Source organism: Homo sapiens, chromosome 4 (genome assembly GCF_000001405.40).
Source record: "Homo sapiens chromosome 4, GRCh38.p14 Primary Assembly".
In the NCBI taxonomy this organism is placed as follows: domain Eukaryota; kingdom Metazoa; phylum Chordata; class Mammalia; order Primates; family Hominidae; genus Homo; species Homo sapiens.
Genome location: NC_000004.12, coordinates 134,181,898 through 134,209,891, shown reverse-complemented (window position 1 = coordinate 134,209,891; position 27,994 = coordinate 134,181,898). Strand labels below are relative to the sequence as shown.

Genomic DNA, 27,994 nt, shown 5'->3' with positions numbered 1-27,994 from the left:
GTCATTATGATGTTAGCTGGTGATTTTGCTCATTAGTTGATGCAGTTTCTTCCTAGTGTCGATGGTCTTTACATTTTTGCATGATTTTGCAGCGGCTGGTACCGGTTGTTCCTTTCCATGTTTAGTGCTTCCTTCAGGAGCTCTTTTAGGGCAGGCCTGGTGGTGACAAAATCTCTCAGCATTTGCTTGTCTGTAAAGTATTTTATTTCTCCTTCACTTATGAAGCTTAGTTTGGCTGGATATGAAATTCTGGGTTGAAAATTCTTTTCTTTAAGAATGTTGAATATTGGCCCCCACTCTCTTCTGGCTTGTAGAGTTTCTGCTGAGAGATCCGCTGTTAGTCTGTTGGGCTTCCCTTTGTGGGTAACCCAACCTTTCTCTCTGGCTGCCCTTAACATTTTTTCCTTCATTTCAACTTTGGTGAATCTGACAATTATGTGTCTTGGAGTTGCTCTTCTCAAGGAGTATCTTTGTGGCGTTCTCTGTATTTCCTGAATCTGAATGTTGGCCTGCCTTGCTAGGTTGGGGAAGTGATCCTGGATAATATCCTGCAGAGTGTTTTCCAACTTGGTTCCATTCTCCCCGTCACTTTCAGGTACACCAATCAGATGTAGATTTGGTCTGTTCACATAGTCCCATATTTCTTGGAGGCTTTGTTCATTTCTTTTTATTCTTTTTTCTCTAAACTTCCCTTCTCACTTCATTTCATTCATTTCATCTTCCATCCTGATACCCTTTCTTCCAGTTGATCGCATCAGCTCCTGAGGCTTCTGCATTCTTCACGTAGTTCTCGAGCCTTGTCTTTCAGGTCCATCAGCTCCTTTAAGCACTTCTCTGTATTTGGTTATTCTAGTTATACATTTGTCTAAATTTTTTTCAAAGTTTTTAACTTCTTTGCCTTTGGTTTGAATTTCCTCCTGTAGCTTGGAGTAGTTTGATCGTCTGAAGCCTTCTTCTCTCAACTCGTCAAAGTCATTCTCCATCCAGCTTTGTTCCATTGCTGGTGAGGAACTGCGTTCCTTTGGAGGAGGAGAGGCACTCTGCTTTTTAGAGTTTCCAGTTTTTCTGCTCTGTTTTTTCCCCATCTTTGTGGTTTTATCTACTTTTGGTCTTTGATGATGGTGATGTACAGATGGGTTTTTGGTGTGGATGTCCTTTCTGTTTGTTAGTTTTCCTTCTAACAGACAGGACCCTCAGCTGCAGGTCTGTTGGAGTTTGCTAGAGGTCCACTCCAGACCCTGTTTGCCTGGATATCAGCAGCGGTGGCTGCAGAATAGCGGATTTTCGTGAACCGCGAATGCTGCTGTCTGATTGTTCCTCTGGAAGTTTTGTCTCAGAGGAGTACCCGGCCTTATGAGGTGTCAGTCTGTCCCTACTGGGGGGTGCCTCCCAGTTAGGCTGCTCGGGTGTCAGGGGTCAGGGACCCACTTGAGGAGGCAGTCTGCCAGTTCTCAGATCTCCAGCTGCGTGCTGGGAGAACCACTGCTCTCTTCAAAGCTGTCAGACAGGGACATTTAAGTCTGCAGAGCTTACTGCTGTCTTTTTGTTTGTCTGTGCCCTGCCCCCAGAGGTGGAGCCTACAGAGGCAGGCTGGCCTCCTTGAGCTGTGGTGGGCTCCACCCAGTTCGAGCTTCCTGGCTGCTTTGTTTACCTAAGCAAGCCTGGGCAATGGCGGCCGCCCCTCCCCCAGCCTCGCTGTTGCCTTGCAGTTTAATCTCAGACTGCTGTGCTAGCAATCAGTGAGACTCCGTGGGCATAGGATCCCCCGAGCCAGGTGCGGGATATAATCTCCTGGTGCACCATTTTTTAAGCCCGTCGGAAAAGAGCAGTATTCGGGTGGGAGTAATCCGATTTTCCAGGTGCTGTCTGTCACCCCTTTCTTTGACTAGGAAAGGGAACTCCCTGACCCCTTGCACTTCCCAAGTGAGGCAATGCCTCGCCCTGCTTCAGCTCACGCACTGTGCGCTGCACCCACTGTCCTGCGCCCACTGTCTGGCACTCCCTAGTGAGATGAACCCAGTACCTCAGATGGAAATGCAGAAATCACTCGTCTTCTGTGTTGCTCGCGCTGGGAGCTGTAGACCAGAGCTGTTCCTATTTGGCCATCTTTGCTGCCCGATCTACATCTCGAACTGATTTTTTTAAGAAGGACATTCCAATTTTCAGCACAACCTGATTTCTACAGATAGTTTGGCATAAGGAAAGTCTATTGAAGTCTATCTTGATTATCAAGGTGTTGTAGAGTGGGTTTCATGATAGAAGATATTCCATTGTCAGACTGTCAATATTTCTGGTTCTAAAAACTAAAAATGTAAGACTTTCGTTCCAAAGGCCACAATAGTGTAGCCGCAGTGGGCTGATAGAATTTAAACCGTAACACTGCAACCTAAAAATGGATCAATGGTGGTGGGACAGCACTGATAGCCTCAAGAAGTGTTATCCCACTAGAGCTTTCCAGGAGTCGTCAGAACTCAATGCCATGTAGCCTTCCTTGCCTCAAAAGCAAGTCAGAAAATGTATGATATATTGATGGACACAGTTAGCAATGGTAGCAGTCTGAGTGGTGCGAGGTCAATCTCCAGCTCAATTACTATCTTATGAGTGAATGACCCTTAATATGGCATCTACATGAAGGACCAAGATGTTTCTATAAGGGATAGCAATTTATTTCCACAGTTCAGTGCCCTAGAATCTGCCAATTTGTAGAAATGTATAAGCATCTAACATATAAATTCCTATTATAAATTTTGTTGTGAAATTGGTTATAAATCAGTTGTAAAATAAGTAAAAATGGTACATTAAATTGGTCCAATGAAGCAGCCCACAAGGTCCATTTAGCTTCTTTCCCTACTGTGAACATTGTCTAAACCCCATCAGCTGGATTTGGGCACTCTCACCTGCCAGGGAACCAGGCAGTATTATAACTTGGGTATCAGTATCTAATAAAACCACTGAAATTTGACGCTATTTCCTGAAATATAATACCTCAGTATGCTTACATAGATCTGAATAATGTTATTTATCTTTCTCTTAAATAGGTCTGAATGATGTTATTGTCTTATTTCTCTTAGGAGCCTTGGCCCTATCTCTAATTATCTTTCTCATTGAAATGACTGAGTTTGTGGTGGGGGACAGAGGAGGATCAGGGGATGTACATAAACGAAGCAACCTTTTATCATAAAGTAAGTCTTCACATCAGTTTCTACTGGTGTGATGACAGCTTGGGATTGAAGTAAATGAATTTCCATTGTTTTTATTCTGCTCAAAGCTGTATATCAGGTGATATGTGATGATTGACACCATCTATTTCAGCCTTGGGGGACATTTACCTTTCATCAAGATCTACTAGCAATCAAGCATTACTTATTGAAAAATTTCCATATGTGCCATATAGAGAAAGGTAACTCTGAAATGTAAATCATATTCCTCATTCTCAAGAAATTAACACTATATTTGGGTAAGAAAAACAAAACGAAAAACACAAGCAACAACAACAATAACAAATAACAACTGGAAAGAGATTATTGTCAAAAAAAAGAACCAAATAATCTGAAAGATACAATATTATACTTTGTAGTAAATTGAACATGGTAGTTTCATAATACAACAAAAACAAGTTTTCTTTATTTAATTACTATGTATTAAGGCAATAAAGACCATTTTGAACTCAAATAACAAAAATTTTATTAATAGTTGACTACATCAGAACAATGATTCAAGACTTCAGAAACTAATTTTACCTAATTTAGTATGAGAGATTTTTATTTTAAAATGCATTTCCATACCCAAAATAGCTACTTATTAATATCTTCATGATAAATACCAAAATAAACAATAACTTCCATTGCTGTGAATATCAGTGAGTAGAAATACTGACGGTTTTCCTGCCATTTAAGCAAAACAGCAGTCTCATCCTCTCCTAATTCTGTGAGCCACCCACACAACAACCTTGTACATTGGAGGGCAATTGAACTAAATAACATAAGGTAGGCAAAATTACAATTTTTTTTCAAGATTAGGCAATCTACTGTCTATTTTCAAGAGATTCAATTTTTTAGCTCTCACATATGAGTTAGAACATGCAATATTTATCTCTCTGTCCCTGGCCTATTTCAATTAACATAATGACTTCCAGTTCCAACCATGTTGCTGCAAATGACAGGATTTCAATCTTTTTTATGGTTGCATAATATTCCATTGTGTATATATACATATATATATGCATATATATACACACACACACACACACACATTTTATTTATTCATTCATCCACTGGTGGACACTTCAGTTGATTCCATAAATCTTGTCTGTTGTGAATAGTACTGTAATAAACAAGAGAATGCAGATAATCTCTTCAAATATATTGCATTCCTTTCTATTTTTAAAAGAATTAACTGCATGTACATATAAAGCAAGCGAGGGATTAGCTTGACAAGAGAAAATATATGTAGTTACAATGATATTGATCTTGCAGTCTTTGGTGTCATTTGCTATTTTTTTACTAAAATGTTATGAAAGAGAGATTAGTAAAATTATTCCAGTAACAAAATGCAACATGGACTGATATACAGACAGCCCGAATCAAAGAAGGTGAATGAATAAGACTCATGCAGTAATATACAAGGAAATGAAGTAAAGGCAGTAGCAAAGGGAAGGGAAAGAAAGGGCAAATGTAAAGGACACCCCAAGTGAAGAAATTATTCACTGAACACAACTGACAAAAAGAGGAGATTTAGTGAATTAAAGACAAGGAAGAATCATAGTTACTTAAAAAATGCTGTATTTGTTAAAATATAAAAAGAAAAACACCATAACTAGAACAAATAGGAAGATGTATAATAATTAGTCATTTAACCAACTGAGGTTTGTACCAGTTGCCTGTAAGTTGATTAGAGAATGTAGGACTAAATTCTAAATTTGGAGATTCTTCTCATTTTTCACAAAATGTCGAGTGAAGATCACACTAAGGTAAAATGAAAAACCCACAAGTTCTTGAAATATTTTGGTATCTTGTTATAGCTGAAGTACCGTTGTATTCAAACAACACAAAGAACTGATGAGATCTAAACTATATTTTTTAGAAATTAAAAATCTTAAGACTAAATTCTTAGGGACTACACACTTAGGAGCTTTCTTAAAAAACAAAAACAAAAAAAAAAACTCCTGATAATATTGAACATAGTAATCACTGTTTTATTTATGTTAAACAACACCAAATAGCATCTAAATTCTTAAAGTATGTGCTGGAGTACTGCCCAAATCCATTAATGGTATCTACAACTATGTTGGTGATTTCTTTTCCTTTTTAAAATTGCAGATTTCAAGACAGGCTGAAAGAAAAGATTACTGTATTTATTTATTTGAACAAATGATGCTACAGGAACAACACATATTGAAATAAATTTTACAAACAGCCAGGCACAGTGACTTATGCCTCTAATCCTAGCATTCTGAGAGGCTAAGGCAGGAGGATCACTTGAGCCCAGGAACTGGAGATAGTCCTGGTCAACAGGCAAGACCCTGTCTCCACAATAAAACATAAATAAATAAATAAATAGCCTGGCATGGTGGCATGTGTCTGTTGTTCCAACTCTTAGAGAGGCTGAGGTGGAGGGACTGCTTGAGCCCAGGAAGTCCAAGGTGCAGAGAGCCCTGTTTGCATCACTGCACTCCAGCTTGGCTAACAGAGTGAGACCCTGCCTAAAAAAATTACAAACTAAAACAAAACAAAACAAAAAAACAAAAACAAGAGAAAAACAAACAAGTTCATGTGTAATTTAGCATATATATTTTATACTCTCATGTACATATAAAATATTTTATATGTACATGAGTATGTATATTTTACATATATTCTCATGTATATATAAAATATATAATGAGTAGTTCTCAAAGAGGTGACTCACCTCTTTGGTGAATTTCAGATTATATAGCACCTTCTTCTTCTAAGTAAATTCTTAGAGAAGTGGTAAAACAAACAAAAAAGGACTTTAAGTTGTTACGGGCAGCAACTTGGGGGAAGGTGAATCAATCAATGGTAGATAAATGCTAGTTATCTTGTTAAAATTTGTTAATATAGATTCCTCTCGTACCTTCTCCAGGCTGATAGGGTCCAAAGTTGTCTTCAGTGGCTAACATTTGCGAGTGGGTTTGGGGAGGGCAAGGTAACATTTTTCATTATAACTCTATCATGCTTTTAGGCAAGTAGATGGAGGGCAGTGAGCTTTCCTGCATCTGCTTCTTCTTAATTATCTTCAGCTCAGTAATCTCTCATATTTTGGAGTGGCATCTTCTCATCTCCCACATAGGAAATTTTAGATAGATTACAATCAATTTGGATTTTATAGTGAAAATCATGCTCCAGTTTTATTTAATGCATTTCTAAGAATGAATTTTGCTAGAGTATTATTATCTTCTGCAAGTTAAACACATATTTTTAGTTTTCCAGTTCTTACATTAGAAAAGATCCCTCTAAATGAGGATTCATTTAGTCTTGCTACTCAGTGTGGTTCAGAGACCAGCAGAATTTGCATCACTCAGGAACTTGTTCGAAAAGTTGAATCTCAGGTCCACCTCAAGCTACTGAATCAGAATCTGCTTTTTCAACAAGAGCACTAGTTTTTTCCTATGTCCAGTAAAGTGAAAAAGTACTAAATTTGCCTTACATTAACTGATCCACCCAATTCAGATTTGCAGGTAATGTTCTGCCCTGAAGAGGGGTTGTTTTACCCCAGTGGGTCCTTTACCTGCCTGTTGCCATTGAGACAGTAGAAAGACGGGAGGTTCTGTTAAGCAGAGCAGAAACTTTATTTGTTGTTCAAAGAGTAGAGAAGGTGAGCTTCCCATTCACCTTTTCCCCAGGTGTGTGCAGAAGGGGGATTTTTAAGGTCTCTTAGAGCATGAAGGTGGAGACTAAGGATGCGAATTCCTGGAAAGAGGTGGGACTTTCCAGAGAAAACTAGAATGTGTGCAGTCTTGTTCTTTCTTTTGCACTGGGCACTTACTATATGTGCCTAGCAAAGGGCATCTCTCCCCACTGGGCAGAGATTTTAATATGATAAGGAAGTGAGGATTCAGGTCTGTCTGAGTAGCACTGCCAAGCTGAGTTTTTATCTCGTGGCTTGTTTGTGGCTACTGGCATCCAGCCCGGCTTTTGTTTCTGTAAACAAGTACAACTGAGACCACAGGTTAATTTCATAGGTTCTGGCACTCTTGGAGAATCAAGGTCATGCTACCGTGACAGTAACTTATTGACTCTCTAAGATGCATTATGATTCAAATTTTAAGGATTCATTAGATACTAAAGAATTTTATTTAATGCTAAAGAAAATGAAATCATTGTTACTGGAAACCACTTATGTATCTGATATTGTGTTATCCATTTCCAAATCTATTAACTCATTTCACACGTAAAATACTCTCTAAGATAAGTGCCACCGCCTCCATTTAACTAGATGTGAAAACTAACCTGAGGCTAAGATTTGTTCAATAAATACTGCACATCCCTTGTCTGCAAGTCCCTGAGAATAAAGTGCACATGGCTTCTATTGTTACGAAATATGCAATATTTTGTAATTAGACAAAAGCCGGCAAGTACAGGGTAGTGTTAGAGTTTCTAAGAGGGAAACCTAAATTGTCAGAGGGGTTTAGAAAAAACATCTATTTGGAAAGAGCATTTTAACTCATTTCCGAAGAACACATTTTTATAAAGTTGGCTCTGAAAAACGCTAGTGTGTCTTGGAGTTTTGTAAGGGGAACTAAGCAGCAGTTGAGGCTGGAACATTTCAGGAATCCTGCAGAACTTTATAGAACAAGGTGCGGATGTTGGACCTTATCCAAAAGTCAAAGGAAGCCACTGGAGGGTTTGAAGCCAGGAAGTGACAGGCCCTGATCCACATTTGGAAAGGCTCCTTCACTCAGACCCATGCAAAGCCCTGCGGGCGGGTGGGTTTATTGGGGCCACTCCCCTCGGCTGCCTTTCTCCACCCCAGTCACCGCCTCCTGCTTCTCAGCTTAGCCATCTGAGGAGGGTGGGAAACGTGTAATAGGGGCGGGGGGAAGAAAAACGTTCTTAAAAAAAATATTAAAAAGAAAACATCCCACTTGGCAGCGAGTGCGCGGGAAGTTCAGCGCGCGAGTTCCGGGCTTCCCGCCCGCCCGCAGACGACCGCCGGTGAGCCCCCAGCCCCCGCCTGGCCGCCCGCTTCGCCGCGTCCGTCAGTCCGTCGGTCTGTCAGCCTCCCCTTCCCCCACGCCTCCTTTCTCCGGGCGCCGCGCGGGTCGGGAGGTCGGAGGGGCCCCCTAGGTCTTCAGGACGCCCTTGGCCCGCGTCGCTGCCGGCAGCGCCTCGGCGGCGGCGGCGCCTGCAGAACCCGGTACCTGGCAGGTTCGGGTCTCTGCCGGGCAGAACCTCGCAGCCCATACTCCACGGCTGGGGCCTCTGACGCCTCCGCTTGTGGAGTTCTTCCCTGAGCGGCTGTAACTTTAAACCACTCTGAGCGAGGCCTATTTTTATTCAGAAACCAGCGACCAGGGCGTCTGTGGAGAATGCTCAGATGGAGGGCCAGCCCGCCACTTGAAGTTTTCTCACAAATCTGAGGGGAAGGAACGTCTTGTCCTAATAATCTCTCTTTGCGATTTCACAGTTCTGTTGCCGCGTCCTAGGAGGGCCAGATTGGTGGCTGTGGGGACTTTTGGATGAGGGTGTTGCCTGAGCTGGGGGAGTCGTGTCTGAACTCCATTGCTTGGCCTTTGTGTGGTGATCCCGAGGCCTCCACACTTGAACCGGGCCAAAGCTGTGACCTAGTATCCCCCCACAGGGATTGCTCAAAGAACTCCAGGGGACAAACTCACAGTGGCAAGGACAAGGAGATGAATGTAGCAGCCAAGTACCGCATGGCCTCCCTGTATGTGGGTGACTTACATGCAGATGTCACCGAGGACCTGCTGTTCAGGAAGTTCAGCACTGTGGGGCCTGTGCTGTCCATCCGCATTTGCAGGGACCAGGTCACCCGCCGCTCTCTGGGCTATGCCTACGTGAACTTCTTGCAGCTGGCTGATGCCCAGAAGGCGCTGGACACAATGAACTTTGACATCATAAAAGGCAAATCCATCCGTCTCATGTGGTCTCAGCGCGATGCCTACTTGAGGAGATCTGGAATTGGGAACGTATTCATCAAGAATCTGGACAAATCTATCGATAACAAAACCCTTTATGAACATTTTTCAGCTTTTGGAAAGATCCTTTCCTCCAAGGTGATGAGTGATGATCAAGGCTCCAAGGGCTATGCATTTGTGCACTTTCAGAACCAGAGTGCTGCAGACAGGGCCATTGAGGAGATGAATGGAAAACTACTCAAGGGCTGCAAGGTGTTTGTTGGCAGATTCAAAAACCGAAAAGATCGTGAAGCTGAACTCAGAAGCAAAGCCAGTGAATTCACCAATGTTTACATAAAAAACTTTGGAGGTGACATGGATGATGAGAGATTGAAGGACGTTTTCAGCAAATATGGCAAAACTCTGAGTGTTAAGGTGATGACAGATTCCAGTGGGAAATCCAAAGGCTTTGGCTTTGTGAGTTTTGATAGCCATGAGGCTGCCAAGAAAGCTGTTGAAGAAATGAATGGAAGGGACATAAATGGGCAGCTGATTTTTGTAGGCCGGGCTCAAAAGAAAGTCGAGCGACAGGCTGAGTTAAAGCAAATGTTTGAGCAGCTGAAAAGGGAACGAATTCGTGGGTGCCAGGGGGTAAAACTCTATATTAAGAACCTTGATGACACCATCGATGATGAAAAACTACGAAACGAATTTTCTTCATTTGGATCAATTAGCAGAGTTAAGGTAATGCAGGAAGAGGGGCAGAGCAAAGGGTTTGGCTTGATCTGCTTCTCCTCTCCTGAGGATGCTACTAAAGCAATGACTGAGATGAATGGCCGCATCTTGGGCTCCAAACCTCTTAGCATTGCCTTGGCCCAGAGACACTAGGAAAGAAAAACGTACCTTTCCAGCTAGTATCTGCAGCAGGTGGGAGAATGATAGTGATCTCTGCCTGAATTGACCTCAGTAAATTTCATATTCCACATGATGGGTGCTTAGTTTAGTAAACTTTATGATAAAACGTTTTTTATACAAAGCCATTTTTTTTCTTTTGTGGAAAAATAGATGGAGCTTAGTTCATTTTACAGAGGCACATTTTCTAATTTTAATATTGCACATTTTTCTTATTTTGATATGTTCATAGCAATAAGTATAAATAGATATATTTTTACATTTGAACCAAATGAAATGAGGTAATTATTTGAATTTATTGCATATTTATTATTTTAGTAATATTGCTAGCTTTAATTTCTTCTATGAAAATATGCTCAAAATAGTTCTTACAACTAAAGATTCCAAAGTATTTTTACCAACAGAAATTTTCTAATTTTTCATCCAAGTTTTGAGAAATCAAACTTTTAGAAATTTATAGTACGAATTTAAAGACCTAATTTCATTTTGAATTAATGCTTAAAATAGTCAGATATAGTTGAATTTCTTTTAAATTTATATCCTGACATGCTTGTTTTTCGGATGGTTTAAATTAAGATGATGGAAGTTTTTAATGTTGCCTAAAAACTGGCTTTATGTGTTTTGTTCTTTCCATTAGTTGACTATAATTCAGGTACTTACTAGTTAATCTAAATTGTAACTTGCACTGTAAAACCTTAACTTCTACATTCCTTAAGTTATAAATCTGTTATCAACTCAGGTGATCCAAAGTTGGCCTGGTCTTAAATCTCTTCATACCTATATGGCTTAATATATTATCTTAAATTTTTACCAGATGCTAATATTATGAAAATCATACATACAGATTATAGAAATTCTGTTTAAAAACTTTTAAAATCTCTTTTATATTGTTTTGTGTAGTGATTTTCTCTTAGGGTTCAGAAAAGTAAGTTCCTCTATTTTTATGTACTCACATCTCCTTTTATTAGAATGTGGCAGCTATGGAACCCATTAAGGTTCACTTTTAGCCTTCATTGATCAGAAACACTGATTGATTTTCTGATGAATTGAAGTTACATCACTTATTCTGTTTTCTAGCATAATTTTTAGTTTAGAACCATTCCCCTATTTTCCTTGCTCTCCTGCCTTTCATCTATATTCCTCAGCTTTTTAAAATACTTTCTAAAGGATTTTTTTATGTTGGCTTTTAATATGTGCTGCTTCAAATCCATTTGGAAATCGAGGCAAGAGTTATTTAATTACATTTAAATAATTGCTTTACAAATTCTGATTCATACCAAAGGTATCTAGCAAGCAAGTGCTTTTGTTTTTACTGTTTTCATATTTTTACTTGGCTTAGTTTTTTCTCATAACTATTATTCACATTCTCTATTTCATATATTACTAATATAAAAGAAATAGTAAAATATTTTTTGGCAATACCTCAGCTTATGAATGAGAAAAATTTGTTGCCTTTTATTTTTATAGAAATTATATGTATATTCTTTGCACATTTTCTAAAATGAAAATCTTTTAGTCCATAAAAAATTATGGACAATGAAAAAATTAAAAGAATTTGCATATAATTGTATTATGCAAACCAATTCCCTATTATAATTTGTTACATATTTTTCTATTTTTTTCTCTCTCTACATATATACACCTAGGTAATTTAAGAAAAATAGGATAATATTACAAATGTTGTTTGAAATTGCTTTCTTAAACAATATGCTATGGTCAACTTTTATGCTCACAATAATTATTTGTCTTATAATCTGAGTGACTTTTATGTTTTGTTCAATGACTGTACCAAAATATAACTAATTTCTTATTGATAAACTTCTTGTTGCTAGATAATTTCTTCCTTTTTTCTTCTTCCTCTGTCATAAATAACTTGGAGATTAACATCCTTGCGAACTTATATATGCAAATATATCTATTTTCTTAAGAAAATGTTTAGAAGTAGAATTAATGGTTAAAAAAGAATCAATTTTAAAAAGTAATTTTGATAAATATTGCTTAAATGCTGTCCAGAATACTTGTGGCACTTACATTTCCATTGTCATTGTAGGAGAATGCCTATTTCCATATGCTCCAAGAAACAAGGGTTTTTTTTAAGCTGTTGGTCAATTCAACATGATATGTAAAACAAACCATTTCATCATTGCTTTATTTCACTTTTGTAAATTACAAAAGTTAAACAGTATTTGTGTACTCACTGACCATTTGTATTTTCATACTTATAAGTTAATGTCTCATGATCATAATTTATTTTCCTGTTGGGGTGTTTTTTATTTACATGGATTTTTAGATTTCTTTGCATATTATGACTACATTTTAGACTTTTCCCCCTGATATTTCACTGTCTTTATAGTTTTGAAGGTTATTCCAAAATTGAATGTTAAGCTGGAAAGTTTTAGTATTCTACTGAAATGGCTTTGATGTCATGCTTCAAAATATTTTGAACACTTTAAATACATATATTCACACAAATATATATACACCCACACAATTTATCTGTATTGTGTTTATGACTTTCAGATTTTCATATTCTCAATGCTTCTAACTAAAATTTTGGTTCATAAAAAGTATCTTATATAAAACCTATAGTAAATATTTTAAAAATGTGCTTTTCCATTTTTAATAACATGTATTTTGGTAAATACTTGATTCAGAGAGCCAATGAATTAGAGTTGGCATATGAGTTTCACATAGATTCTTATACTAGGTAAGTATTTACCAAAACATGTATCAGAAGCAGAAAGTTGTTAAAAAGGTTTACCAGACAACAAGACTGGAAAGTGTATTAAGTGTGCCTGGCCTTGACATCTTGTTCTGGATAATCTAGTCTACATCTTAATTTAGGAAAGCTAATCTGTAAAACTGTTCAAATATTTGAACAATATTTGATAATGCTTACATAATCTTTCAAGATAATATCAGGAAACAGAGTTCTTTCATGTATGTAAGTAGTTAATAGGACATAACATCAGATGTCTAGATGAATTATAGCTATGGCTTAATTACACAATAATCTGCCTTCTTAGTAGAAATTGCTTATTTCCAGCATTTGCTGTAAAAAAAAAAAAGACAGTCAGTTTACAAAAATATACAATCCTATGGATTTAATTTATTTAAATTTTGTTCATTCTAATTTTTTTTGGTGCGTGATAATAGCAAGTTATCTTAGTTGAAAATAGAGATTCATTCATTAAAGAATATTAAATCTTTTGTGCCCAAGTGCCTTAATAAATAAGTAGAATCTTAACTTTTCTGATAAGCATTCCAGTAAAAGCTAATGTACATAGATATGCCTTGAGCCACTGTTTCTACTTTCACCCTTCTCTCCACACATATTGCCACGTCTGCTGTGTAGTTACCTGCTTACATGTACAGCCATTTCAATAAATGTATTCTTTTAACATTTTATCTTTTAAATTTCAAATAGGAATTTATAGTTGGTAAAAATAAAAATTTTAAAGTGATTTAATATTGTCATTTTCATGTTCTCAATATTGTTATAGATCCACTGAGAAAATGTCAAATAAAATCTAATATTTCAAAGGTGAAAGCATGTTTGAAAATGATTTTTATTTATTATAAAGTATTTCTGATTTTCCAAAGACCAGTTATCTTAAGAATGAACTGAAAATTACTTGTGTTTTTAGTGAAATACTTGTATTTCAGGTTTTCAAGGACAATTTCTTTATGAACTAGTATTTCTTTTTTAAGTTACTCATAATTATGAACTCACAGTTGAAAACAAAACACTAACAAGTTTTAATGAGGAATAATTAACTATTTTAAAGACATTTCTGAATTTATTGTTAAATTCAACTAACCTGTCAAGTGCTTAGAATTGACTTACTCATAGTACATTTGGAAATATGCCCCATAATATAATTTTAAAAATATATATAATAAAACAATAGAGTAAAAATATAATTTTAAAAAATCTACACTTTCAAAAGTAGAACAAATTAAATACCCTCACGATACTTTTGACATATATGTATCTCCCAAGTGCATGTGTACTCAAATCTGAGTTACACATACATTTGGATCTGAATTTGTTAAAGTCAGATTATTTTGCAGGTTTGCCCAGAGGAAATATGTATAATTAAGTGTTGGTTTTGTCTCATGGTCTTGTCATATTTTGGAGTTCACAGAATGCTCTGAACTAAATTGTAGTTGCCCTGAATGAAACAATTGAATCCAAATGAGAAGGAAATTTATCTTCTTAGTGGCATTCTTAACTGTAGTAGAGAAAACACCTTAACTTCTGAGAGAGATTCATAATTTGTACAATGATATTCCATCAGATTTTGTTAACCCATTTATATTTACATCACCTTAGATATTTTAAAAATCCTTATTTTAAAGTTTTGCCAAACACTAATAGCACATTTGAGTTGCGAAGGCAATATCACTGAAGTGGCAGATATAATTATTGTTTTTTTTGCATTCAGTGAATATCAGTCATAATTCATTTTTTGTTTTTACAATCAGTATCTCCAGTGGAATTTTCTTATTTCAGGAAGCCATGTCTAATGGTATTGTAGGGCATCACAATTTTGATTTACATTTAATTTCAACTTTGTACATGTGCTAGTGGCAGCCAATATTAATTCCTTGAAGTTAAAGTAAACCTTTATAATAGTAGTTCCAGCAAATCTTTGTTAATCAAAGACATGCCTCAATTTGAATGCAAGGCAAATCTTAGAATTATAACTAGATTGTTTTGACACATTATTATTTTACTGAATTACCATAGGAAGCATTAGAAGCCTAGTATTATTCACCACTCTAGTCACTAACATTTTATATATAGTTTGTATACAAATGACATTTATATTGTATAGATTGCAATTGGCAAAAGGCCATCAGTTATATGGTAATCCAAGTTTTAATATTTATTTTGATTTTAATTAAAAAGATATTGGTAAATGCCTATTTGATCATATCATTCTTCTCCTTAAAAACCTTTCATGGCCTTCCATTACTCTTAAAATCAGGTATAAATATTTACCGTGTCCTAGGATTCCTTGCATTCTGGTCCTTGTGTATTCTTTAAAACTTTTCTTGTGCTACTATTTCCCTTTGTCAATATACTGGAAATTAATTGGTCTTGTTTCAACTCTTTTAAAACTGTCAGGATAGTTCCTGCCTCACTAAAAGCTTTAACCTTTTAACAGATAGAAGGCTGTGTACTGTACAGGTGGAACAAATCTTCCAACTGGTTTATGAAAAAATATATGGTGAAAGCATTTAATTACCTCCTAGAAAAAAGATATTATAGGTATAGGTAGCCAGGAATAGGTTTTTGTTTCAGAATTCTCAGTGTAAGTTTTATTGGTTCTGTTTATGTGATGTTCTTTTTCTTAACCAATCATTGTAACCAAGGTAATGAGATTTGCTGATTAGCTGGGGTTAGGTAACATATTCAAACGTTAAGCAAAAATATCCTTGACCGAGAAAGGTAGAGGTTGTTTTTCAAGGAAAAATCAAGATACAAGTGCCAGAAAAAGTGTGAATTGCTGTAGAATGAAACTTCCCACCCCGGCATCTGCAATACATGAGCTATTATAGATAAACTATTCTCAGTGCCTAGAATACTCTCCCTTAATTTTAATCTGACTGATTCTTGCTTATCTATTTTCAAGCACAGTCTTTTGAACTCTCAGTACTCCCATTTCCCTCTCTACTTTACTAGCATAGCACTTATTAGAGGAGCAAAATAAAACTCCTCCACCCCCAAGGCAGGCAACATAACTCTTCTTTTTTTATTAGTAGCTGGCTCATTAATTAATCCTTATTTATCAGTTGACAAACTTATTACACATAATTACCTACTCTTTTCTCTTTCTTAATACATGTGACTGGACTACTAAGCCAATATATCGCCTGAAAAGTTCTGTCTCTTTCAGGTATCTTTCACTATACAGGTGACTATAAAAGCATGAAATTCCAAATTAAGTTCAGGAAGTGATAGAAGAACATTCTTAAGTTTCAAGATCTACGCCACAGTTTTTATCCATGTTTTTTAATTCTCTAAAATTTATTTTATTGAATATTTATATGGATATAACTAACTCCTTTTTTTCTATCAGTCTAATGTTCTAATGTTTCTTTTATACCTCTCTCTAGGGACCCTTGTGGAGAGACAAGGTGTTTGGGCAAGATCTAGATATTCTTATGCTTCTGGACTTGCTAATATCAGAAGCCATCCAAACCAGACTAGATTAAATATTGATGCCCAACATGGACTTGGGCTCATATACACAGTATAGAATTTGGGAGCCAAATTGAAATATGTAAATGATCTTCTTTTCAAAATGGAAATACTTTTCTTTCTTTCAAGAGACAGGAAAGTCTCCCTATAGGATGTTAACCTACAAAAACTGATACCTTTTTTCAAAATTAGATCACATATGGTGTTACAGGGAGAAAAAGAGTAAGTCTCTTGGAAAAGCTGGGGAGGATCACCTTCAAATATTTATATTTTTAAAAAATATATTATTTTAAGTAATAGCTCATTCTTCACATTTCTGCTTTTTTGTATTTTAGGATATAGGATGGGTATATTTATTTGTGGGATATCTGATCTTATTCTAGAAGGACCATTTGAAAGAAGCTCTGTTGCATAATAAAAAAAAAAGTAAAGTAAGTTTCAACTCTTTAAAAAGATGAAGTAGGGGATAGGGAGGAATATTCAGTAGAAAATCACTGCTTCTTACTGAATCTTTTATCGGGTATTGGCTTACAAAGTGCATACACTACGGCAGCACAAAACTAGAACACTATAGGCAAAAACAAAGTTGGGCAAATCAACATATTGATGAGGGACATTCATTTAGGTAATTTTTTATTATTTAGAACTTATGTTAAAGAGGTAATATCCACAATAGAAAATTGCAGAAATTTTAAGCATATAACTTAATGAATGATTAAAGTATGTATTTTTTGTAACTACCACTCAAGTCAAGAAATAGAACATTACCTGTACCCCTCCAACTCTCTCCCAAGCACTTGTCTATCTCACTTATTCAAATATAAACTCTATCTTGACTTCAGATTCTAAAGATTAATCTTGATTACCTTAAACTTTATTCAAATTGATTCATACAGCATGAATCCTCTTGTGTCACATACTTTTACTCAGCGTATTTTAGTGAGATTCATTTCATACTACTGAGTTTAGTAGTAGTGTACTTATTGTCATCATCATATTCTTCTGTTGTGTGACTGTATGACAAATTATTTATTCTTTCACCATGAATAAACATTTGGGTTGCTTTTGTGTTAGAACAATAACAAGTAATGCCACTATAAAAATTATCATAGATGTCTTTCTTTTTGATTGAGATATAATTCAGATAGTATAAATTTATTTTCAAGTATAAATTTACTGGTTTTTAATGTACTCACAAGATTGTGCAAAATCACCGCTATTTAATTTTGGGACATTTCCATCACCTCACAACAAAACTTCAGGCCAAGGAGCAGTCGCTTCCCAGTCTCATCTCTCCACAGCCTCTGGCAACAATAATATAGTCTGTGTCTCTAGGGATTTGTATATTCTGGACCTTTCATATGTACATATATATAGTATAAGTAGTATTATATAATATATGATCTTCTGTTTCTGCCTTCTTTCACTTAATGTTTTAAAGTTTCATCCATGTTGGAGCATGTATCAGCACTTAATTTCTCTTTATGACTGTATAATATTCATTTGTGTGAATACACCACATTTTGTTTATTCATATATCACTTGATGGACATTTGGAATGTTTCTACTCTGGCTGTAATGAATACTACTGCTATGAACATTCAAGTACAGGATTTTATATGAATAAATGTGTTCAGTTCTCTCGGTTATATTAATAGACAAAGACAGTTTCTCATTGTCATTATCAATTTTATTCATCTTCTCAAAAAACCAAGTTTTGGCTTCATTCACTTTTTCTATTGTTTTTCTATTCTTAATTTTGTTTGTTTCTGATGTAATCTTTACCATTCCCTTTTTATTTATTTATTTATTTATTTTTGCTTGCTTTGGGTTAGTGTCCTTTTTTATGTGTATTTTCTTAAGATGAGAAGTTAGGATATTGATTTGAAAATTTTCCTCTTTTTTAATATAAATATTCACAGCTATACATGCCCTTCAGCACGGCTTTAGGGTCAACCAATATGTTGGTGTGTTGTGTTTTTGTTTTCATTGATCTTAAACTGCTTTGGTATGTGTTTTGTTTTCATTGAAACCAAAGTATTTTCTAATTTCCCTTTTGATTTCTTCTTTGACTCATTGGTGATTTAGGAGTTTGTTTTTAACTTCTATATATTTGTATATTTCCCAAATTATTTCCTGATATTAATTTATAATATCATTCCATTGTGGTTGGTGAGCATACTTTGTATTATTTCAATCCTTTTTTAAATTTATTGAGACTTACTTTATAGCTAACATGTGGCATATTCTGAGGAATGCTTCATGTGTACTTGAGAAGAACTGTGCATTCTGCTGTTATTGGCTGGAGTACTCTATAGATATGTGTTAGGTGTAGTTGGTATATACTGTTGTTCCAGTCATGTATTTCCTTTTTAATTTTCCGTCTGGTTGAAACACATAGAATAAGCAAGCAAAATATCAGTTAAGATATAGAGTAGGACAAATGGATCCAATTGGTATATATAGAATCAAGAGAAAACAACTGCAGAACACGTTAGTTTTATGTATAAGTGGAGTATTTTCAACTATATACCCAATAATAAGCCATAAACATAGCCACAATACATTTCAAGAGATGAATATCATACTGAATATTTCTACTGACAATTATGCAATTCAACTAGGGATCAAGAAGAATATATAACTAGAAAATCCTTACAGATTCAGAAATCAAGAGATACACTGAAAGCACAGTGGACATTTAAAATATTTTGAATTGAGGCTGAGTGCAGAGCCTCACGCCTGTAATCCCAGCACATTGGGAGGCCGAGGTGGGCAGATTACCTGAGGTCAGGAGTTAGAGACCAGCCTGGCCAATGTGGAGAAGCCCCATCTCTACTAAAAATATAAAAATCAGCTAGGCGTGGTGAGGTGCACCTGTAACTGCAGCTACTGGGGAGGCTGAGGCAAGATAATGGCTTGAACCTGGAAGGCAAAGGTTGCAGTGAGCCGAGATTTCACCACACCTCTCCAGCCTGGGTGACAGAGCGAGACTCTGTCTCCAGATATTCATATGTATATATATATGAATTGAGTATTGTACAATGATTATATAAACTATCCAAACTTATGAGAAGTATTATAGTCATGCTTTATGATTTATTTGTAGTCTTAAAATGTATATATTAGAAAAGAAAATGTTGAAGAAATGAGCTAAGTGTTCATCTCCAGAAATTGGGGAAAGGACAGGAATTAGAATAAAGTAGAAGAAAATTAAGAATAAAAATTAAAGAATTAGAAAAAAGAAAGCCCCAAACCACACAAGAACTGAAGGGTACCTATACAAGTCTGTTAAAAACATGAGAGATTCTAATTCAATCTGTAAGTTGCTTCAGAGTTACCACATTATTCTAACAACAACTAAAAAATTTAACAGACTGAAAAATCAACAACTCTTAGATATGTCAGAGAAGTATGTGTCAGGACAAACCACTATATCCAAAATTAGAGAGGCAGATAGACAGATAAAGAGAATCACAGTTTAGCAGAACAGAGGCTCACAAGCAGAAACCTGTATGGTAACCAGTACTCAAGTAGGAAAATATAAACTGTAACTGTATTGCTGATGGCTTAATGCAGATAAGCCTGAGAGATCAAAACTGCAGGCAGACAAAGTCCTTGGGGGTTCCCACACTTTTGTGAGTTTTACTTTCCGGAGCTTTCCCAGGAGCAGTCCCAGTTTCTCACAGTGAAAAACAGAGTAAAATTATTTTATGGTTCTTACCAGGTAAGGGGAAGACAGTATTTTGTTATACTTAATAAGGCCTACCCTCAAGAGAAACTATTTTCCCAGAGCCTAACCTAGGGGGTTTTGTTAGACCTTGACCAAATCAGGGGAAAGTAAATACACAATTCCAGTCAACTCTAGTTATTCCATACGAAGGAAGGGTTTGAAAAATGAAAACAAAACCAACAAAAAGAAAAATGAAAGCATTTATGAAGTTCATAGTGCAAGAGCACAGACTCACTAAAAGACAGAAATCTAATCATAAGACTACAGGATGCTTCCCTTCCACCCACATCTTACCACTTACATTACTAAAGGCCTAGGTACCACAGTTCTTTTTACCATGTGTGTGTAAAAAGAATACACACACACACACATTATATATGTGAATGTATATACACATGGTAAAAGAAACTGTATATATATACACACATATACACCATTTATACCATGTATATATGTATGTACATGTATGTATACCATGTATATATGTATGTATACATATATACCATATATACCATGTATATGTGTGTATGTGTGTGTACACACATCTGCCTGTCAACAAAAAAGATATATACCTGCTTGTCAACAAAGCTGTGAAATATACTAAATGGCAAAATGCAATTTGAAGAGATACAGCAAGCATCACAACCAGACTCAACTATGACAACAATGTTGGTATTATCAAATCATGAATTTAAAAAACTTTAGTGAATATGTTAAGGGCTCTAATGGAAAAAGTAGACAATATGCAAGAATAGATGGACAATGTATGCAGAGAAATGAGAATTCTAAGAAATCATCAAAAAGAAATTCAAGAGATCGAAAACACTGTAACAGAAATGAAGAATGCCTTTGATGGCCTCATTATTAGTAGATTGGATAAGGCTGAGGAGAAAATCCCTAAGCTTGAGAATCTGTTAACAAAACTTACAAAATGAAAAACACGGTGAAGAAAAAACCAAAATAAAATTATCCAAGAACTATGGGACTACAGAAGGTGTAACATACGAATAATGAAAATATTAAATGAAGAAGAAAGAGAGAATGAAACAAAAGAAATACCTGAAACAATAATGACAAGAATTTTTCAAAATTAACATCAGACAACAGATTCTGGAAGCTCCGAGAGCACTGAGCAGGATAATTAAAAGCAATACAAAACTATGCCTGGAAGTATCATATTCAAACTGCAGAAAAATAAAGACAAATATAAAGTTTTGAAAAAAGTCAGAAGAAAAAGACACCTTATCTATAGATGAGTAACTGAGTTCTTAGTAACCAAGCAAGCAAGAAGTAGAGTGAAGATTTAAAGTGTTGAGAGAAAACAAAACAAAACCAACAAACAACAACTTCTCCATCCTAGAATTTGTATTCTGCAAGATTATTCTTCAAAAGTGAAGGAGAAATGAAAACTTCCTCAAACCAAAAAAAATTGAGAGAATTTGTTGCCAGTACACCTTCCTTGCAAGAGATGTTAGAAGTTCTGCAGAGAGAAGGGAAATGTTATAAGTCAATAATTAACATCTACATAAAGAATGGGAGAGCATGGTGAAGAAATAATTGAAGGTAAAATAAAAATATGATTTATCTTCCCTTTAATTGATCTACCAAATAAAAGTTCATCCAAAGTAATTATAAAAACAATGCATCTGATTATGTATGATCATGAACTGGGCATTATGGATATTACCCACTTCATGGGCATACACTTGCCCTTGTATTACACCAGAAGTGGTAGTGTTGTTGTTGTTTTTTTAATTAGTGGACATGGATTAGTTGGAAAGTATATAGTAATCTCTAGAGCAACCACACACACACACAAACACCCCTGCACACACACACATGAAAAATTAAAGAAGTATAATGGATATGCTAAGAAAGAGAGAAAATAGAACTATGTAAAATGCTTGGTTAAAATTATAAAAGTTAGAAAAAGTCTGGAAGACATAAAAAAGGAGGGAAATCATAAGCACTAAATAAAAAATAAAAACATCATCTATATTAATGCAACTAAATAAAAATTACTTTAATCATCAGTAGTCTACAGACACCAATTAAATGACAGAAATCAGATTATATCAAAAAACAATATATCTTGTATACAAGAAACTCACTTCGAATATAAAGTCACAGTAAATTAAAAGTAAAGGAATGAAGCAAGTAAAGAGAAGAAATCTGCTAGCACTAATAAAAAGAAAGAGGGAGTATCTACATTAACATCAGACAAAGCAGACTTCAAAGTAATTTATCAGGGAAAAAAGAAGGGCATTACATAATAATAAAGGAGTCAATTCTCCAAAAATACATATTGATTCTTACTGTGTATGTGCCTGAAAACAGAGTGTCATTTACATTAGGTATATCTCCTAATGCTATCCCTCCTCCCTCCCCCCACCCCACGACAGGCCCTGGTGTCTGATGTTCCCCACCCTGTGTCCAAGTGTTCTCATTGCTCAGTTCCCACCTATGAGTGAGAACATGTGGTGTTTGGCTTTCTGTCCTTGCGATACTTTGCTTAGAATGATGGTTTCCAGCTTCATCCATGTCCCTACAAAGGACATGAACTCATCCTTTTTTATGGCTGAATAGTATTCCATGGTGTATATGTGCCAAATTTTCTTAATCCAGTCTATCATTGATGGACATTTAGGTTGGTTCCAAGTCTTTGCTATTGTGAATAGTGCCACAATAACCATACGTGTGTCTACGTTTTTATAGCAGCAGGATTTATAATCCTTTGGTTATATGTCCCGTAATGGGATGGCTGGGTCAAATGGTATTTCTAGTTCTAGATCCTTGAGGAATTGCCACACTGTCTTCCGCAATGGTTGAAGTAGTTTACAGTCCCACCGACAGTGTAAAAGCATTCCTATTTCTCCACATCCTCTCCAGCACCTGTTGTTTCCTGACTGTTTAATGATTGCCATTCTAACTGGTGTGAGATGGTATCTCATTGTGGTTTTGATTTGCATTTCTCTGATGGCCAGTGATGATAAACATTTTTTCATGAGTCTGTTGGCTGCATAAATGTCTTCTTTTGAGGAGTTTCTGTTCATATCCTTTGCCCACTTTTTGATGGGGTTGTTTGATTTTTTCATGTAAATTTGTTTAAGTTCTTTGTAGATTCTGGATATTAGCCCTCTGTCAGATGGGTAGATTGCAAAAATTTTTTCCCATTCTGTAGGTTGCCTGTTCACGCTGATGGTAGTTTCTTTTGCTGTGCAGAAGCTCTTTAGTTTAATTAGATCCCATTTGTCAATTTTGGCTTTCGTTGCCATTGCTTTTGGTGTTTTAGTCATGAAGTCCTTGCCCATGCCTATGTCCTGAATGGTATTTCATAGGTTTTCTTCTAGGGTTTTTATGGTTTTAGGTCTAACATTTAAGTCTTTAATCCATTTTGAATTAATTTTTGTATAAGATGTAAGGAAGGGATCCAGTTTCAGCTTTCTACATATGGCTAGCCAGTTTTCCCAGCACCATTTATTAAATAGGGAATCTTTTCCCCATTTCTTGTTTTTGTCAGGTTTGTCAAAGATCAGATGGTTGTGGATGTGTGTGGTATTATTTCCAGGGACTCTATTCTGTTCCATTGGTCTATATCTCTGTTTTGGTACCAGTACCATGCTGTTTTGGTTACTGTAGCCTTGTAGTATAGTTTGAAGTCAGGTAGCAGCATGATGCCTCCAGCTTTGTTCTTTTGGCTTAGGATTGTCTTGGAAATATGGGCTCTTTTTTGGTTCCATATGAACTTTAAAGTAGCTTTTTCCATTTCTGTGAAGAAAGTCATTGGTAGCTTGATGGGGATGGCATTGAATCTGTAAATTACCTTGGACAGTATGGCCATTTTCACAATATTGATTCTTTTTATCCATGAGCATGGAATGTTCTTCCATTTGTTTGTGTCCTCTTTTATTTCTTTGAGCAGTGGTTTGTATTTCTCCTTGAAGAGGTCCTTCACCTCCCTTGTAAGTTGGATTCGTAGGTATTTTATTGTCTTTGTAGCAATTGTGAATGGGAGTTCACTCATGATTTGGCCCTCTGTTTGTTTGTTATTGGTGTATAGGAATGCTTGTGATTTTTGCACATTGGTTTTGTATTCTGAGACTTTGCTGAAGTTGCTTATCAGCTTAAGGAGATTTTGGGTTGAGACGATGGGGTTTTCTAAAGATACAATCATGTCATCTGCAAACAGGGACAATTTGACTTCCTCTTTTCCTAACTGAAACCCTTTATTTATTTATCTTGCCTGATTGCCCTGGCCAGAACTTCCAACACTATGTTGAATAGGAGTGGTGAGAGAGGGCATCTCTGTCTTGTGCCTGTTTTCAAAGGGAATGCTTCCAGTTTTTGCCCCTTCAGTATGATATTGGCTGTGGGTTTATCATAAATAGCTCTTATTATTTTGAGATATGTCCTATCAATACCTAGTTTATTGAGAGTTTTTAGCATGAAGGCTGTTGAATTTTGTCGAAGGCCTTTTCTGCATCTATTGAGATAATCATGTGGTTTTTGTCTTTGGTTCTGTTTATATGATGGATTACGTTTATTGATTTCCCTATGTTGAACCAGCCTTGCATGCCAGGGATGAAGCCAAGTTGATTGTGGTAGATAAGCTTTTTGATGTGCTGCTGGATCCGGTTTGCCAGTATTTTATTGAGGATTTTTGCATTGATGTTCATCAGGGATATTGGTCTAAAATTCTCTTTTTTTTGTTGTGGAGAGTGACATGACTATTTAGATACCACACCAAAGACACAATTCGTGCAAAGTAATAGATAAGCTGGAATATATTGAAAAATTCTGCTTGACAAAATATATTGTCAAGAGAATGAGAAGACAAGTTACACAATGAGAAAGACACCTGATAAAGGATTATTATCCAGAATATAGAAAGAACTATTAAAACTCAACAATAAGCAAGTGAATTACCTGATTTAAAAAATAGGCAGAAGACATCTCAAGAAAGGAGATATACAGATGGTGAATAAGCATATGAACAGCTGTAAGTAGAGACTCACAAATAAAAATAACAGTGCAGTATCATTACAAACTTATTAGAATAGCCAAAATCCAAAACACTGAGAACATCAAATTCCAAAAGGGATGTATAACAATAGGAACTCTCATTCCTTACTTGTGAGGATGCAAAATGGTACAGCCATTTTGTAAGAGAGTTTTGTAGTTTATTCCATAACTAAACATATTTCTACCATATTATTCAGAAATCACAATCCTTGGTATCTACACAAAGGAGTGAAAAGTTATGTCCACACCAAGGTGCCCTTCAGTAGGTGAATGGAGAAATACACTGTGGTACTGTGGTGATACATGCACACAGTGAAATATTCAGCACTAAAACAAAATGAGCTGTCAAGCCATGAAAAGATATGGAGGAATCTTAAATGAATATTATGAAGTGAAAGAAGCCAATCTGAAATGGCTATGTACAGTATAATTCCAACTATATGACATTCTGGAAAAGGTAAAAGTGTGGAGATAATAAAATCAGTGGTTGCCAGTGGTGGTGGGGAGGAAGCCCAGTCTGTTGCTTGTCTTTCTGTGATCTCTAAAATCATATTTTACATTTAGATATACAATCCACTTGGAATTTTTTTTGTTATGATGAAATGTCAGAGTGGTGTGTCTTACTTTTTCTATTTAGACATTCAGCAGATTCAGTACTGTTTATTGAAAAGTTTAGCCTTTTCCTGCAGTATCCCAAAATGATATAGTGCCATAAATCAGATCCCCCTATTTGTTCTATGTTTGGGTCAGTCTCTGGTTTCTGTTCCATTAGTCTGGTTAACCAGTCTATCCTCTGCCAGTGTCATACACTCTTTATTACTTGATAAGATGTCTTCATTTCAGAGAGTGGGAATCTTCCATCTTTTTCTTCTTACTTAAGATTGTCTTGATTATTCTTGGCCCTATGAATATCCATAGATATGATGAAATCAACTTGTTAAGTTCTACAATCGCACTCAATCAACTTGTTAAGTTCTACACACACACACACACACGCACACACACAATCTTTTAGGGATTTTATTGCAATCATGGCTTTTTTTGATACATTTAAGGAGAATTAAAATCCTTAAAATATAGCCTTCTAATCAATGAAAATAAATATCAATTTATTGGTCTTCTTCTTTTTCAACAATATTTTATAGATTTTGTGTAGAATTCTTGCATATCTTTATTAGTTTTATTCTTAGATGCATGATATTTCTAAGTTTCTATAAAACACTTAATACTAATTCCTGTTTTTAACAAATATATGGAAACACATTTACTTCTAACTTTTATTTTAAGTTTTGGTGTACATTTGCAGGTAACTTCCAGGTGTGCATGTATAGGTACATATATAGGTAAATTTTGTGTCTCAGGGGTTTGGTGTTCAGATTATTTTGTCACCCAGGTAATAAGCATGGTACCTTATTGGTAGTTTTTTTTTTTACCCTCTTCCTCCTCCCACCCTCCACCTTCAAGTAGGCCCCCGTGTCTGTTGTTCCCTTCTTTGTGTCCATATGTACTCAAAGTTTATTTCCCACTTATAAGTGAGAACGTACGATATCCGGTTTTCTGTTTATGCTTTACTTCACTTAGGATAATGGCCTCCAGCTCCATCTATGTTGCAACAGAGGACATGATCTCATTCTTTTTTATGGCTGCATAGTATTCCATTGTGTATAGGTACCATATTTTCTTTTATCCACTCTACCATTGATGAGCATTTGGGTGGATTCCATGTCTTTGCTATCATGAATAGTGCTGCAGTGAACATTTGCATGCTATTGTCTTTGTGTTAGAATAATTTATATTCATTTGGGTATATACCCAATAATGGGATTGCTGGGTTGAATGGTAATTCTGTTTTAGGTTCTTTGAGAAATTCCCATACTGCTTTCCACATAGCTGAACTAATTTACATTCCCACAAGCAGTGCATAAGTGTTCCCTTTTCTCCACAGCCTCACAAACATCTGTTATTTTGTGACTTTTTAATAATACTCATTTTCACTGGTATAAGATGCTTTCTCATTGTGGTTTTGATTTGAATTTCCCTAAAGATTAGTGATGTTGAGCATTTTCCTATATGCTTGTTGGCCATGTGTATGTCTTTTTTTGAACAGTGTCTCTTTATGTCCTTTGCCCATCTTTTAATGGGGTTGTTTAGTTTTTGCTTGTAAATTTGTTTACATTATTTATAGATTCTGGATATTAGACCTCTGTTGGATTAGTAGTTTGCAAATATTTTCTCCTATTCTGTGGGTTGTCTTGTCTGTTATTCTGTTGATAGTTTCTTTTCCTGTGCAAAAACTCTTTAGTTTAATTACATCCCATTTGTCAATTTTTGTTTTTGTTGCAATTGCTTTTGGTGTGTTGATAATGAAATTTTTGCTAGGTCCTATGTCCAGAATGGTACTTCCTAGGTTATTTTCCAGGGTTTTTATAGTTTTGGGCTTTACATATAAGTCCTTAATCCATCTTGAGTTGATTTTTGTATATGACGTAAGGAAAGGGTCCAGTTTCAATCTTCTGCATATGACTAGACAGTTATCCCAGCACCATTTATATAATAGAGTCCCTTCCCTCTTGCTTAATTTTGTTGAAGATCAGATGGTTGTAAGTGTGTGGTATTATTTCTGGGCTCTCTATTATGTTCCACTGGTCTATGTGTCTGTTTTTGTACCAGTGTCATGCTGTTTTGGTTACTATAGCCTTGTAGTATAGTTTGAAGTTGGGCAATGTGATGCTTTCAGCTTTTTTCTTTTTACTTAGGCTTTTATTAAGGCTCTTTTATAGTTTAATGTGAATTTTTAGATAGTTTTTTTGTTTTTGTTTTTTTAGTTCTATGAAGAATGTCTTTGGTAGTTTGATATGTATAGCACAGAATATGCAAATTGCTTTGGGAGTTTTTTAATTTTTGTTTTTTTTTTTTACTTCTGTGAAGAATGTCTTTAGTAGTTTGATGTGTATAGCATTGAATATGTCAATTGCTTTGGGCATTTTAACAATATTGATACTTCCTATCTATGAGCATG

The 27,994-nt window shown here is 35.7% G+C and overlaps 1 protein-coding gene across 12 annotated transcripts in view, besides 1 other annotated feature; it reads left to right on the top strand.

Moving 5' to 3' along the window:
* Window positions 1,208-1,708: an enhancer, noted in NCBI's record as "H3K4me1 hESC enhancer chr4:135129339-135129839 (GRCh37/hg19 assembly coordinates)". NCBI's record gives its function as "activates a minimal SCP1, AML or CMV promoter by ChIP-STARR-seq in naive H9 embryonic stem cells {active_cell/tissue: H9 hESC(naive)}" and the evidence as "EXISTENCE:reporter gene assay evidence [ECO:0000049][PMID:30033119]".
* Window positions 7,991-27,994, top strand: part of PABPC4L (poly(A) binding protein cytoplasmic 4 like) — a 253,443-nt gene continuing 233,439 nt past the window's right edge. For 6 of the 12 annotated variants that reach the window (XR_001741139.2, XR_001741135.2, XR_001741134.2 and 3 more), the window contains exon 1: window positions 8,313-9,841. Coding sequence is in view for 3 of the 12 variants with exons in the window: in XM_047449600.1 (XP_047305556.1) it covers window positions 8,699-9,841 (1,143 nt within the window). In the remaining 9 variants the exon portion in view is untranslated. Of the gene's footprint in view, window positions 13,560-27,994 lie in introns of those variants that run through there. The other 6 variants (XR_001741133.2, XR_007096356.1, XR_007096357.1 and 3 more) reach the window with 5 other exon arrangements.